Source organism: Homo sapiens, chromosome 2 (assembly GCF_000001405.40).
Source record: "Homo sapiens chromosome 2, GRCh38.p14 Primary Assembly".
NCBI classification, from domain to species: Eukaryota; Metazoa; Chordata; class Mammalia; order Primates; family Hominidae; genus Homo; species Homo sapiens.
In genome coordinates, this window is record NC_000002.12 from 113,482,138 (window position 1) to 113,498,005 (window position 15,868).

Below are 15,868 nucleotides of genomic sequence, written 5' to 3' on the forward strand. Positions count from 1 at the left end.
AGTGTATTCATCTCTGAATTTCTAATCAGTTGTTTTTAGTTTGCAGAAAAAACTTCAGCATGTGCCAGGAACACAACCTCACCTTGATCAGGTAAAGAAAAAAAATCTAAATCCAAAATTCCTAATCAATGTTTTTAAAGGACCTCTTTAACTAGATAGGCTATGTTTAGGACTATTTTATTATAAACTTTTTCTAAAATGGTATTTTTGAACTGTATTGATAATTTTTGGAATCTTAAATGCTTTTGACATAGTCTAATTCTATTTCTTAACACATAATAGGAATTCATCAAACCAGATTTGTTTTAGAATCTGAGGAAATCATGCTTTCTAGCCTTTCCATTCTGTAGATTGCTTAGCATATTGGTTAGTTCTGATAGGGATTACTCCTTAAAAGCAGCCTGGGGGTTCTATAGGCAGTCTGTTTTTAAGTATGTTGAATTGTTTAAGGAAAGGTCTGATATAAGCATGGCTTATTTAAATAAAAATTGACTTGGAGTTTCACCTTCAGGTAGCACTATAAATTTGAACTCCTTAAGATGTTTTTCATGCTCTAAAATTCTAATCCCTAAGGTAAATATCTAAGATGCTAGGAACAATTTAAATATAATTTTACTGTACCTGCGTTTCTGTTAAGCAGATCATAGATCGTAGAGCTTTAGGATAACTTCTTTGTTCCTCTTAAAACCCTGAGGGGTGGAGTGGGGGATGTGTAAGTGAGCAGTGTGCCTAATCTTCCTTCCTCTCTCTCAAGTGATCACTCAGTTTTTGAATTGCTATTGGTTGTAATAGGGCCGAGATAACAGCTACTTGCATTTGTATTCATTTTGGTTCACATTTATGAGCAGGTTTGCCACTATGTTTGTGGCACCTTTCCCTGTGAAACTTTTGTTAATAGGATATTCCTCTTCACTTATCTTTAAAATGAATAAATGAGAGAAATACAAGTCCTTGGAGATAGAATTTATGGTAAAAAAACAAAAAACCCAGTTCTTCATGATAGTCGGTATCTGTCATATAGCTGAACATGAAGCACATTTGAGCTTCTGGGTAAAGAACGTGATGCCAAGAATCATAGGGATGAAAAGATGAAGCAAACGCAGCGCTCACTTTCCATGAGCGTTTGGGGCGGCCAGTGTCTCCATCCATAGAGCCTCGAATGAACCTCTATTGTGGCGGTTACGATGCCTTGCAGTTTGCTTGAAATGCTTTTGCCTGGCAAGAGTCTATACATTCCTTACGTATAAAATCTGTATTGCTTAGTACAGGGCTTGGTGGGTACTCAGTGAGTATTTGTTACAAGAATGAAAAGCTGCGTTTCTCAAATGGGGCATAAATCAGAATCGCATGTGGAGCCTTTTTAAAAAAAATTCGATAACTCAGTAGTTCTCACCCTCAGTCTCCAGGATTGGGACTTGGGTATGTGTATATTAATGTATATTTTTAACATTTTATTATGGAAGATTTCAAAGATATAAAAGAATAAACAGAATAGTAAAGTGAACCCCTTGTATGCATCACCCAGTTTAAATGGCATCAACATTTAGCTGATTTTATTTCACCTATCCTCCCAACATTTCTTTTGCCTGGAGTATTTAAAAAAAACAAATGTATTTTAATAGGAAATTTCAAACGTGCGTAAGAGTAGAATGGCATAATGAGCCTGTATGTACCTATTGCCCTTGGTGTAGTGTATTAAAGCAAATTCCAGACACTATGTCACTTTACTACTAAATAGGGCATATCTATATTTTTGTAGCCTCTGTAGGAGATTCTGATGCACTGTCCTGCTTTAGATAATATAAACATAGGGGAAAATAGTATCACAGCCAAAGGGCTATGGGATTCAGAGGCATGAACAATTTCATTTGGTTTAGTGGATCTGGGGTGTAAGGGAGGAAATTTATCTTTTCCTCGCCTATCACTAGATTCATGGCTGAGGTCTCTCTAACAGAAGACCAACTATCAAGAGAAATTTCAACATAGAAATTTATTTAGTAAGTTTTACTTGACACAGGAGCCTTCATAAAACATACCTGTGTATGTTTTCTGTTAGTTATGATATGGAAGAGGATAGTAATGGAGAAGCATAATTAGATAAAACAGTATGATCTAATAATAAACTGGGAAGAACTTAGCAAGGCCTGTTTGCTCAGATTTTTCTCTGTGACCCTTCATATTCAGACTTAAGGATGTTCTTTTCCTCTGTGTATAGAGAGGGCACCTCTTAAATGAGGGTCTTATGACCTGCATCAGCGGAAGGTCAGAAAATCTTTCCTAGGTTTTATGACCTGCTTCAGGAGAGAAGGTGAGAGTGACCTTCCTGATTCTGCCATTTTCTCAAATATTGAGTTGCCATATTTTGGGATAGCATGTCCTGAACCCCATCAAATGCTTCATGAGGATAGTTTTTTGTTTGTTTGTTTTGGTTTTGGTTTATTTATTTGCATACAGTAAAGCATGCAAATGTGTAATTTTAGTGTACAATTCGATGTTTGGGTTTTGTTTTTGTTTTTGTTTTTTTGGTTTTTTTTGAGACGGAGTCTCGCTCCGGCTGGAGTCTCACCCAGGCTGGAGTGCAGTGGTGTGACCTTGGCTCACTGCAACTTCCTCCTTCTAGATTCAAGTGATTCTCATGCCTCAGCCTCCTGAGTAGCTGGGATTACAGGCATGTACCACCATGCCTAGCTAATTTTTGTATTTTTTTTTTTTTTTTAGTAGAGATGGGGTTTCACCATGTTGGCCAAGCTGGTCTCAAACTCCTGACTTCACCTGCTTCGGCCTCCCAAAGTGCTGGGATTACAGGCATGAGCCACTGTGCCCGGCCTCAATGTATTTTTACATATATTTGTACCTATATATCTGTCTATATGCACATTCAAACACATATCCTTCTAACTCCCACTCAGGTCAAGATACAAAAGATATCCAAAATTGTAAAGAGTTCCTTTTTGCCCCTTCCTAGTCAAAGAAGGGGTAAGTGCTATTCTGACTTACTTAACAAAAAATAACCTTGAACTGGTAGGATTTTTTTGACGGTAGGATTTTTTTTGACCGGAAGAAGTAAGGAAAAGAGCAATACGGATGTTTAAAAATGAGAAGGTGAGAATCTTATAGATGAGTAGGTCTCTGGTACAGAAGTCTTAGTGGAGAGTTGGTACTGGAATCCTGGTCTAAGGTATTAGGTTTTAATTTGCTAAACAAAGAGAACTCAAGCAGTGCTGTCTAGGAGTGTTATGTAAGCTAGATTGGACTTTAGAGTCAGGAGACCATGCGGGAAGATACTGTGTGATAAGGGCCTGAAACATGTTGGTTACAGTGAGACTAGAAATGGGATAAATCCAGAGCTGTTTCACCAGTAGACTTGCCTGAATATCCTGTCTGACTGAGTATGGATCAGAAAGAAAAGAAGGGGTGATGGGAAACGAGCCTAGATTGACTAGAGAAACCTAGAAATAGAAAAATCGGGAAGGCAAAGTGATTTGAATGATAATGCCATATATTCAGTTGTCCCTGGTGGCCAGATATTATAGTATAGATATTATACAGGCAAAGAAGAACAGAGGGATAGAGTGTGAAGGTACAGATTTTGAGTTTAAGCACATTAGGGGGCTTAGTGTTCTGGATGAAGAAAACCTATAAAAGTTATTGTATGTTAGGTATTGTTTGCAAAAAAGTAGAAAATGGAGAAATAACCCAGTGGGTTAAAGAAGAAACAGACTAAATAAACAAACCTGAGTAAGTTGTTCCTAAATTTTATTTTAGAGACAATTCCTCATTTTGCTTTAGTTTTCTCAATTATTGCCTCACTTTTCTGTTTCTTTCTGTGTCAGCATACATGGAAGAAGGAGTTAATTTTAGATTCAAAACAAAAACTGGAAAAAAAAAGTCTGAAATGGGTAATACCTAGGACCTAGTATATATGTGTTATTAAGGCTCTATCCCTGAATTTTTAATGCAGTTATCTATTTTTCATGGATTCTTTGTTTATTCCCCATAAGGAACACCTGGGTTTGGAGAGTGGGAAGGTAGATGAGAAAACCCAAGTGACAAATAATGTTTAGTTTATTATTAGAACCAACTATGAGTTGTGACCCTTATCTTCTGCACTGGGAATTACAGATTTTTTTCAGGGTTTTTCTAACGTGAAAAGAGTTTATTGGTGTAGGAAAACATCTGGTTCCAAAATATAGATCATCCTTATTGAGCCCCATGATGCGTTATCTTAATTTTTAAAGCCTTTTTTGTCTCATACTGGAGTTTATTGTACCCCTTAAAAATATTAAGTCACATATTTAACCTGATAAAAGCAAAAATCATTATAAAAATCTTTAGGCTGGGTGTGGTGGCTTATGCTTGTAATCCTCACGCTTTGACAGGCCAAGGTGGGTGGATTGCTTAAAACCCAGGAGTTGTAGACCAGCCTGGGCAACATGGTGAAACCCCATTTCTGCAAAAAATACAAAAAATTAGCCAGGCATGGTGGCATGTACCTGTAATCCCAGCTACTCGAGAGGCTGAAGTGGGAGGATTGCTTTAGCTTGGGAGTTCAAAGCTGCAGTAAGCCATGATTGTGCCACTCTACTCCAGCCTGGGCAACAGAGTGAGACCCCATCTCAAAAAAATTTATTAAGTTAAAATCTTTAACAATAAAGCAATTTGGAGTCGTATTTTGCGACATTCTCAATATAGTTTTCCAACTTGCATTAAAATACATTTTAAACATTTTTGAAGACTAAATTTATTTTTTTTTAACTGACAGTTATGTTTCATTTGACAACCTTTTGCTGTATATTTTTATGTGGACTTTTAGGTATTGTAGTGATTCCTTTAATGAAGAAATAAAATAATTGTCATTTAAAAAGTGCATATTATTATTACCTTATGCTATAAAAATAGTTTTAAAATAGAATATGTTTATTAAGATTTAAAAATAAGTATAGTCATGCACCGCATAACAGCGTTTTAGTCAGACTGCATAAGATTACGATGGAGCTGAAAAATTACTGTCACACAAATACTTACCATTGTGTTATCATTTCCATACACTGGTCAGTACAGTAACATATATGCTGTACAGGTTTGTAGCCTAGGAGCAACAGGCTATACAGCATAGCTTAGGTGTGTAGTAGGTTATACCATCTAGGTTTGTGTAAGTACACTATCATGTTTGTATAACAACAAAATTGCCCAACAGCTCATTTCTCTTTATGTATCCATGACTGTATATTTTTTATTGTGGTAAAAAACACTTAACATGAGACCTACCTTCTTCCACAAATTTTTAAGGGTACAATATAGTATTGTTAACTGTATGTACATTGTTATATAGCAGACCTCTAGAACTTTTCATCTTGCATGACTAAAATTATACCCATTGAACAGCCCCTCCCAATTTTCGTCTCCCTCTAACCCCTGGTAACCACCATTTTACTTTCTGATTTGATGAGTTTTACTGTTTTAGACACCTGATATTAGTGGATTCATGCAATATTTGTCCTTCTGTGACTGGCTTATTTCACTTAGTGTAATGTCCTCAAGATTCATCCATGTTGTAGTATATGACGGGATTTTTTTTAAGGATACATAATATTTGGTTGTATGTATATTACCACATTTATTTTATCCATTCAACTGTCCTGGACATTTAGGTGGTTGTTAGTGTCTTGACTGCTGTGACAAAATAAGTACTTTTAAAAGTCTCACATTTGCAAGTTCAATTTGAACCTTTTTTTAGTCTGCTTGTACTTCTCTTATCAAGCAAGAAAGCACTTTTCTGCTTTTTGTATTACTAGTAACAGTGGAGATTAAATATCTCATGTTTTTGGGCGTTCTAGAGCCCAACACATCACCTGTTCCTTTCCATACTACCACAACTGACACTCTCTGGAAAGTGCCACCTCCCTGCAGCAGGCCAACCAGCACAAAAATAGTACATTAAACCAGCAAAGCTAAGAACCCTCAAAGAGTACATTTCACCCTCCTACCGCCTCCACTGGAACAGGTGCTGGTATCCACAGCTGAGAGACCCACAGATGGTTCACATCTCCCGACTCTGTGCAGACTACCCCCCAGTACCAGCCTGGAGCCTGGTAGACTTGCTGGGTGGCTGGATCCAGAAGAGAGATAGCAATCACTACAGCTCAGCTCTCAGGAAGCCACATCCATAGGAAAAGGGAGAGAGTACTACATCAAGGGAACACCCCGTAGGACGAAAGAATCTGAACAACAACCTTCAGCCCTAGACATTCTCTCTGACAGAGCCTACCCAAATGAGAAGGAACCAGAAAACCGACCCTGGTAGTATGACAAAAGAAGGTTCTTTAACACCCCCCAAAAAATCACACTAGCTCACCAGCAATGGATCCAAACTAAGAAGAAATCCCTGACTTACTTGAAAAAGAATTCACTAGGTTGGTTATTAAGCTAAGGCACCAGAGAAAGGTGAAGCCCAATGTAAAGATATAAAAAAAAAAAAAGATACAAGAAGTAAAGGGAGAAATATTCAATGAACTAGATAGCATAAATAAAAAACAATCAAAACTTTAGGAAATAATGGACATACTTATAGAAATATAAAATGCTCTGGAAAGTCTTAGCAATAGAATTGAACAAGTAGAAGAAGGAAATTCAGAGCCTGAAGACAAGGTCTTCTAATTAACCGAATCCAATAAAGACAAAGAAAAAAGAATAAGAAAATATGAAGAAAGCCTTCAAGAAATCTGGAATTATGTTAAATGACCAAACCTAAGAATAACCGGCATTCCTGAGGAAGAAGAGAAATCTAAACGTTTGTTAAACATATTTGGGGGAATAATTGAGGAAAACTTCCCCAGCTTTGCTAGAGACCTAGATGCAAATACAAGAAGCACAAAGAACATCTGGGAAATTCATCGCAAAAAGATCATCATCTAGGCACATTGTCGTCAGGTTATCTAAAGTTAAGATGAAAGAAAGAGCTGTGAAACAAAAGCACCAGGTAACCTATAAAGGAAAACTTACCAGATTAACAGCACATTTCTCAGCAGAAACCCTGCAAGCCAGAAGGGATTGGAACCCTATCTTCAGCCTCCTCAAACAAAACAATTATCAGCCGAGAATTTTGTATTCAGCAAAACTAAGCTTCATATATGAAGGCAAGATACAGCTTTTTCAGACAAACAGAGAATTCACCACTACCAAGCCAACAGTGCAAGAATGCTAAAAGGAACTCTAAATCTTGAAACAAATCCTGGAAACATAGCAAAACAGAACCTCTTTAAAGCATAAATATCACAGGACCTATAAAACAAAAATACAATTAGAAAAACAACAAAAACCAGAAAAACAAGGTATACAGGCAACAAATAGCATGATGAATAGAGTGGTACCTCACATCTCAATACTAACATTGAATATAAATGGCCTAAATGCTCCACTTAAAAGATACAGAATTGCAGAATAGGTAAGAATTCACCAACCATCTGTTGCCTTCAAGAGTCTCACCTAACACATAAGGACTCACATAAACTTAAGGTAAAGGGATGGACCAAGACATTTCATGCAAACGGACACCAAGTGTGAGCAGGAGTAGCCATTCTTATATTAGACAAAACAAACTTTAAAGAACCAGCAGTTTAAAAAGACAAAGAGGGACATTATATAATGAAAAAAGGCCTTGTCCAACAGGAAAGTATCACAATCCTAAACATATGCACCTAACACTGGAGCTCCCAAATTTATAAAAGAATTACTAATAGACCTAAAAAATTAGACAGACAGCAACACAATAATAGTGAGGGATTTTAATACTCCACTGACAGCACTGGACAGGTCATCAAGACAGAAAGTCAACAAAGAAACAGTGGATTTAAACTATACCTTGGAACAAATGGAGTTAAAAGATATATACAGAATATTCCATCCAACAACCACAGAATATACGTTCTGTTCAACAGCACATGAACTTTCTGTAAGATAGACCATATGATAGCCAACAAAATGAGCCTCAATAAATTTTAAGAAAATTAAAATTATATCAAGCACTCTCTCAGACCACAGTGGAATAAAACTGGAAATCAACTCCAAAAGGAACCTTCAAAACCATGCCGATACGTGGAATAACCTGCTCCTGAATGATCACTGGGTCAAAGATGAAATCAAGATGGAAATGTAAAAATTCCTCAAACTGAATGACAATAGTGACACAACCTATCAACCTCTGGGATACAGCAAAGGTGGTGCTAAGAGGAAAGTTCATGGCCCTCAATGCCTCCATCAAAAAGTCGGAAAGAGCACAATCTACGGTCACATCTCAAAGAACTAGAGAAACAAGAACAAACCCAGCAGAAGAAAGAAGACCAGAGCGGAATTAAATGAAATTGAAACAAAACAACAAAAAAAATCCAAAAGATAAATGAAACAAAAAGCTGGTTCTTTGAAAAGATAAATAAAATTGATAGACTGTTAGCAAGATCAGCCAAGAAAAGAGAGAAAATCCAAATAAGCTCAATAAGAAATGAAACGGGAGATATTACAACTGACACCACAGAAATACAAAAGATATTCAAGGCTACTATGAACACCTTTACATGCATAAACTAGAAAACCTAAAATAGATGGAGAAATTCCTGGAAAGATACAACCCTCCTAGCTTAAATCAGGAAGAATTACCCTGAACAGACCAGTAACAAGCAGGGAGATTGAAATGGTAATTAAAAAATTACCAACAAAAAAATGTCCAGGACTAGACGGATTCACAACAGAATTCCACCAGATATTCAAAGAAGACTTGGTACCAGTCTTAAAGACACTATTCCACAAGAGAGAGAAAGAAGGAATCCTCCCTAAATCATTCTATGAAGCCAGTATCACCCTAATACCAAAACCAGGAAAGGACATAACCAAAGAAGAAAACTACAGACCAATATCCTTGAACATAGATGCTAAAATCCTTAAGAAAATTCTAGCTAACTGATTCCAACAACATATCAAAAAGATAATCCACCATGATCAAGGGGTTTCATACCAGGGATGCAGGGATGGTTTAACATACACATGCGCGTAGCCAAAGCAAGACTAAGCAAAAAGAACAAATCTGAAGGCATCACATTACCTGATTTCAAACTTATACTATAAGGCCATAGTCACCAAAACAGCATGGTACGGTTATAAAAATAGGCACATGGACCAATGGAACAGAATAGAGAACCCAGAAATAAACCCAAATACTTACAGCCAACTGATCTTCAACAAAGCAAACAAAAACGTAAAGTGGAAAAAGGATACCCTTTTCAACAAATGGTGCTGGGATAATTGGCTAGCCACATGTAGGAGAATGAAACTGGATCCTCCTCTCTCACTGTATACAAAAATCAACCCAAGATAAATTAAAGACTTAAATCTAAGACCTGAAACTATAAAAATTCTAAAAGATACCATTGGAAAAATCATTCTAGACATTGGCTTAGGCAAGGATTTCATGAACCCAAAAGCAAATGCAATAAAAACAAAGATAAATAGCTGGGACTTAATTAAACTAAAGAACTTTTGCACAGCAAAAGGAACAGTCAGCAGAGTAAACAGACAACCTACAGAGAAGGAGAAAATCTTTCATAATATATACATCTGAAAAAGAACAAATATCCAGAATCTACAATGAACTCCAACAAATCAGCAAGAAAAGCAGTCCCATCAAAAAGTGGGCTAAGGACATGAATAGACAATTCTTAAAAGAAGATATACAAATGGCCAATAAACATATGGAAAAATGCTCAACATCACTAATGATCAGGGAAATGCAAATCAAAACCACAGTGCGATACCACCTTACTTCTGCAAGAATGGCCATAATAAAAAAATCAAAAAAATAGTAGATGTTGGCATGGATGTGGTGAACACGGAACACTTCTACACTGCTGGTGGGAATGTAAACTAGTACAACCACTATGGAAAACAGTGTGGAGATTCCTTAAAGAACTAAAAGTAGAACTATCATTTGGTCCAGCAATCCCACTACTAGGTATCCACCCAGAGGAAAAGAAGTCATTATACGAAAAAGATACGTGCACACGCATGTTTATAGCAGCACAATTCGCAATTGCAAAAACGTGGAAGCAACCCAAATGCCCATCAATCAATGCGTGGATAAAGTAACTGTGATATATATATACATACAATGGAATACTCCTCAGCCATAAAAAGGAGTGAATTAATGGCATTCGCAGTGACCTGGATAAGATTGGAGACTATTATTCTAAGTGAAAGAACTCAGGAATGGAAAACCAAACATCGCTATGTTCTCACTCATAAGTGGGAGCTAAGCTATGAGGATGCAAAGGCATAAGAATGACACAATGAACTTTGGGGACTCAGGGAGAAAGGGTGGGAAGGGGATGAGGAATAAAAGACAAAAATTGGGTGCAGTGTATACTGCTCAGGTGATGGGTGTACCAAAATCTCACAAATCACCACTAAAGAAGTTAACCAACACCACCTGTTCCCCAGTAACCTATGGAAAGAAAGAAATGTCTCATATGTTTCTGCCTAAATTGGTCTTTAATACTTTAGCGATTCTCTTGAGTTTGGATTATAAAATAGTTTTGGTCTTTTTGTATTTTCTGCTGTAAGCCTGTATGATTATGTAATGGTGAGTAAAATTGCTAGGCCAGATATGCAGTTCTAGGAAGTTATGCAAAGATGTGCTTTAGTATATTATTTTCTACCTTTTTAAATTCATTTTGAGCTTGGCTTTTGAGCCTCTGTTTTCCAAGGTGGGGTGTATGTTTTTATAATGTTATGCTTAGCCCTTGTGTATTTTCATCTCTGAGTTTGAAATTTGGGGTTATATTGGCAAAGGGAGGTTTGGGTTTTAATTAGGTGACCTGTTAGAGGAAATGTTAAGCTTCTGTTTCTTTAGGGTAGACAGTGAGAGATTTATCAAGATAAAGAAGAAAAATAAATCCTAGAGTTAATATTCAATACATGATGATGTCACCCTTACTAAAGCCAAAGAGGGCATTATCCTATCATTCTCATCGCTAAGAACTCTTCTCCTCTTGGCACATGCTTATTCAGTTAAAGATAAGCCAAGCCTTTCTTTTGTATTTTTTTTTTAAGAGAACAAATTTACTTTGGTTTTGAGTTTTATTCCTGGCCCTGGGTAGCTTATTTTTTTGACCCTTATTTTCCCCAATTTATAAAATGAAATAGTTATCTTCACTCCCCAGGATTGTTGTGAAGAGTAAGTCAAAAGATAAAATGAGGTGACTCAGGCAAAAGTACCTGGCCCTGTGTAGTGAGTACATTGTATGTGTTACATATATTCTTATTGCTGAGAATCCACGAAAGAATGAATTAAATAATGAGGACCCTTTCATCAGGGTTTTTGAGTGAGTTTTTTAAAATACAAGGTAGTAGTTTGTGTAAATACTAAATCCATTGGTACCTGTGCAGAATGTAGGAAATGGAGTTGCTAATTCCAAAAAAACAGCACATATGCTGAGGAAAGTATAATACCTAATATATATGGTTTAAGCAATGTAAAATTCCATGAATATGTTCCTTTTCATCTTAAAATTTGTGATTTAAAAAACATTGATATTACTATAAAGAATTATTGTTATTTCCCTTGATTTACAGAGTATTGTTACAATCACATTTGAAGTACCAGGAAATGCAAAGGAAGAACATCTTAATATGTTTATTCAGGTGAATGCAATTTTTAACTGATAAATGATTTATCAATGGTTTTGTTACATAGTTGTTGCTATTAGCGATGGTTGGTCTTATTAAAATATGTCACTTGATACAGAATCTCCTGTGGGAAAAGAATGTGAGAAACAAGGACAATCACTGCATGGAGGTCATAAGGCTGAAGGTACAGTTTACTGTTGCAGACTTTCGGACAAAGTCCTTTTCTTGGCTGTTATAAAAACTATATTTGGTTTTAAACAGAAACACTGGTTTTAGTACAAATCATCTTTGTCTACTTTCATTTTTCTTTATTATTTTCATGACTGAAAAGGAGCTTTGGAAATCACTGCATAAGGCTTGATTTATTTGCACAACTTTCTTTAGGGTTGCAGCTAGAACAAACCTGTGTGCTTTGAAATGTTACCTTCTGCTCTCTGTTCCCAAGTACAGAGAAATAATGTTGCAAATCTCACTTCTGCTGAACATTATGCTTCCTGATGCATTTAGCAGACACTAAACATTTGTCATACTCTAAACAAAGTTACAAAGGACTAGAAGAATTCTTGTTCTGTATTTAGAAACCCACTCACGTTACTTGATATTTGGGTATTTAAGTCATGAAAGGTATTTCTTCTAGGAAGCAGTGATTCTAAAGTGTATGCTTAACCAGTCAGTTGAGTGTCTACTCTTGTGTGTTCACAAGTGTGCACAAAGTTTTTGGTAAATTAAGAATATTATTTCAAATAAATTAATTTCATCCCCATAGGAGCCAGTTTATCAGATAATTCATTTTTCATTTCTGCAAATCAATACACAATGAGCTCATATTCAGATAAATATAATAGTTTTTCTTTATTTCATCATTGTTCATTGATTGCAACCCATTTCTAAAACAAATTATTTAATATAATCAAACTCCTTTAACTTCTCAACTTTTCCCACTAAAACTGTGAAACATTATATAAAATCTTTAATCAATAGGATATGATACATATTTCATCATTTTGTTTCAGGTTTTGGTTGTGATAAATAACACTGAAAAACCATCCTAATATATGTATTAACTTTATCATTAGAAAAGGGGATTGTTCAAAAAAAAATCAATACACAGAAACCTTTTTTGAAAATTAAAAACATTAAGAAACTTCTTGTAATTCACAAATAATTGGAATTAAGTAATTTTCTCAGCTTAAGAGTTTGTATTTTTTAAGTGAATATCAGTAATTAATCCATTAACATTGATGCTCTATTTCTGCTTTTAAGTTTGAACTGAGGCTGATTAATGTTCAGTCAATTCTCCTTTGAGCAGGGATTGGTGTCAATCAAAGACAAATCACAACAAGTGATTGTCCAGGGTGTCCATGAGCTCTATGATCTGGAGGAGACTCCAGTGAGCTGGAAGGATGACACTGAGAGAACAAATCGATTGGTCCTCCTTGGTAAGTCTGAAAGGATTCACAGTTTTAAAACAAAGTGAAAAATATATTTGAAAGGGATATCATGTGCCACTCAAACAGATTAACCATTCAGGTCCTCTTTTAAAACTAAATAAGCTTGTGGTCAATGTTTCATCTTTATCACGTTACAACGTTCGTAAAAGCTTGTTAGGACTTTTGTTCTTCTTCAGTTTTAGAAAAGTGGTTAATCCAAGGACCAATGTGACTTTGATGTACTGACCTGGAAAGTTAAAGATGGAATCACTCAATTACTATTCTTTTTGTAAATTTCTAAACACCATAAAGCATTTAATGAACTGGAATTGATAGGTGAACTGTGTCATTTTAATAAGCATAATGTAATCACGTCATATTTTGTTTTGTTTGCAGGCAGAAATTTAGATAAGGATATCCTTAAACAGCTGTTTATAGCTACTGTGACAGAAACAGAAAAGCAGTGGACAACACATTTCAAAGAAGATCAAGTTTGTACATAACACTAGAGGCATTTCTTATCAAAAGGATTGGATAATAAAAATAAGTTTCTACTGGGTATATTTCAAGCATTTATTTATTACTTTAGTTACGAATTCCAATATACTTTAAAATGGTATTTGTTTTACAGCATACATAAAATGTAGCAAATCGGTACTGTAAAACATTTAACATTCATACAGTTATATATAATATCCTTTTTTTTAAAGAATGGTATTTCACAAAAATGTCTTTTGAAATTGGCTTTGGAGTTTACATATACTGAACATGAAAGTTTATAATAATGATGATACAACTTTCAACATTGTCATTTTTTCTTAGAACTTCAGCTGATTGCAGAGATATAATGATTACATTGTTATTAAATTTTTTTAACACAAGTAAGTGTCACCATTTTATGACATGAAATAAAAGGTTATGACTGTTATTGATGTTGATGTTGACGACCTGATCACCTGGCTGAAGGAGTGTTTGTCAGGTTTCTCCATTGTAAAGTTACTCTTTTCCCCCATTTCATACTGTGCTCTTTGGAAGGAAATCACTATGCACAGCCCACACTAAAGGAATGGGGAGTTGTAGTGTACTTTTTTGGGAGTGGTCTACATAATTAATTGAAATTCTTCTGCAAAGGACAGTTGTCCCTTTCGCTTTATTAGTTCGATCATTTATGTTTATCAGTGTGGACACATGAATATTTTATACTTTGGGTTACAATTTAATACTGCTTTATTTTGTTGCTCAAATTAGCCCAGCTTTGACCATTGGGAACTCTTTCCGTTATCTCCTGTTCCCGCCTTTGACATGCCCCCATCAATGTGGGTTTCCGTTATCTCCTGTTCCCGCCTTTGACATGCCCCCATCAATGTGGGTTTCCGTTATCTCCTGTTCCCGCCTTTGACATGCCCCCATCAATGTGGGTTTCCGTTATCTCCTGTTCCCGCCTTTGACATGCCCCCTCAATGTGGGTTTTGTGTTTTGTTTTTGAGTGCCTCCTTATTTTTCTCCTGCATTTTTAAATAACCCCGATCCCTATTGAAGCTGGCGCTGGGAAAACTAACAATACTCCCTTTCCCAGGTCATCCGATTCCTATGCTGATGGAGGAAATGTGCCTCACATGCCGGGGGCGCTGGGGAGGAGGCGTCTGGGATTTTGTGGTTGAATAAGACACCTGGCCTGGCCCTCCTGGAGCTTAGTTTAGTAGGTCACACAAGCAGTCATTGGTAAATTTGGGATTCAAACAAATCTGTTAGGCTCAAACCTGTCTGTTATTTGTCCTCCAAGCTTCATATAAACTGAGGAGCCTTAAAGGGTAAAAACTTCAGGAGCAGCAAAGTTTCAAAAAAAGATCAGCAAGAAAGCTCTTTTCCAGATTTTATCCTGAAGGCACTAGCTACTTTAAGCTATTTTTTATTATATTTTGCCCTTGCAGTTGGCGTTTGATTTCTCACTGAACATTCGTTGTCATAATTATAGACACTATGTGACTATCAAGGGCATAATATTCTTTCATGCTGCATTTTTATTAGATGGCACCTCAAAGTTTTCCCAAGTAGGTGGGTTTTAAATTATGAATATATACCGTGGCATAGTATCTTACTTAGTATTTTAATAAGATCCTTATTTATATAACAAATATTTTTTTTATTCCTCTGTAGTGCTACTTTAGTCTCTGAGCTAATTTTCATGAAGCCAATCTAAAAATCGTGTTACTTCTAAGGATGTGGAGCGAGTGAGATGAACAGTTGTGCTGTCATATTGCCCCTCCCCAGTGCAGACAGTGAATGAGGACCCACTGATTTAAAGGCAACACTGCAGCCCCTTCTTGCCTCATTGAAGTCCCAAGTTTTATTACAGTAAAAGCACTTAATGTTGACATTTCTGAAAGAATGAAGAGGCCGGGCGCGGTGGCTCACGCCTGTAATCCCAGCACTTTGGGAGGCTGAGGCAAGCGGATCATGAGGTCAGGACATCGAGACCATCCTGGCTAACACGGTGAAACCCCGTCTCTACTAAAAATACAAAAAAATTAGCCGGGCGTAGTGGCGGGCGCCTGTGGTCCCAGCTACTCGGGAGGCTGAGGCGGGAGAATGGCGTGAACCCGGGAGGCGGAGCTTGCAGTGGTCCGAGATTGTGTCACTGCACTCCAGCCTGGGCGACAGAGCGACAACGTCTCAAAAAAAAAAAAAAAAAAAAAAAGGAAAAAAAGAATGAAGAGCCAGAGCCAGGCATAGTGGCACGCCTGTAGTCCCACCTACTCAGGAGG

General features: G+C 36.5%; 1 protein-coding gene across 13 annotated transcripts in view; it reads left to right on the forward strand.

Annotated features, from left to right (window-relative positions):
- Positions 1–14,067, forward strand: part of ZNG1B (Zn regulated GTPase metalloprotein activator 1B) — a 58,514-nt gene extending 44,447 nt beyond the window's left edge. For 10 of the 13 annotated variants that reach the window (NR_138474.1, NR_138473.1, NM_001330340.1 and 7 more), the window contains 5 exons: positions 40–91; positions 11,620–11,688; positions 11,792–11,857; positions 12,983–13,112; positions 13,500–14,067. Coding sequence is in view for 9 of the 13 variants with exons in the window: in NM_001330340.1 (NP_001317269.1) it covers positions 40–91; positions 11,620–11,688; positions 11,792–11,857; positions 12,983–13,112; positions 13,500–13,606 (424 nt within the window). In the remaining 4 variants the exon portion in view is untranslated. Of the gene's footprint in view, positions 1–39; positions 92–11,619; positions 11,689–11,791; positions 11,858–12,982; positions 13,113–13,499 lie in introns of those variants that run through there. The other 3 variants (XR_244814.2, XR_427073.2, XM_011510667.2) reach the window with 2 other exon arrangements.
- The last annotated feature ends 1,801 nt before the right edge of the window (positions 14,068–15,868 follow it).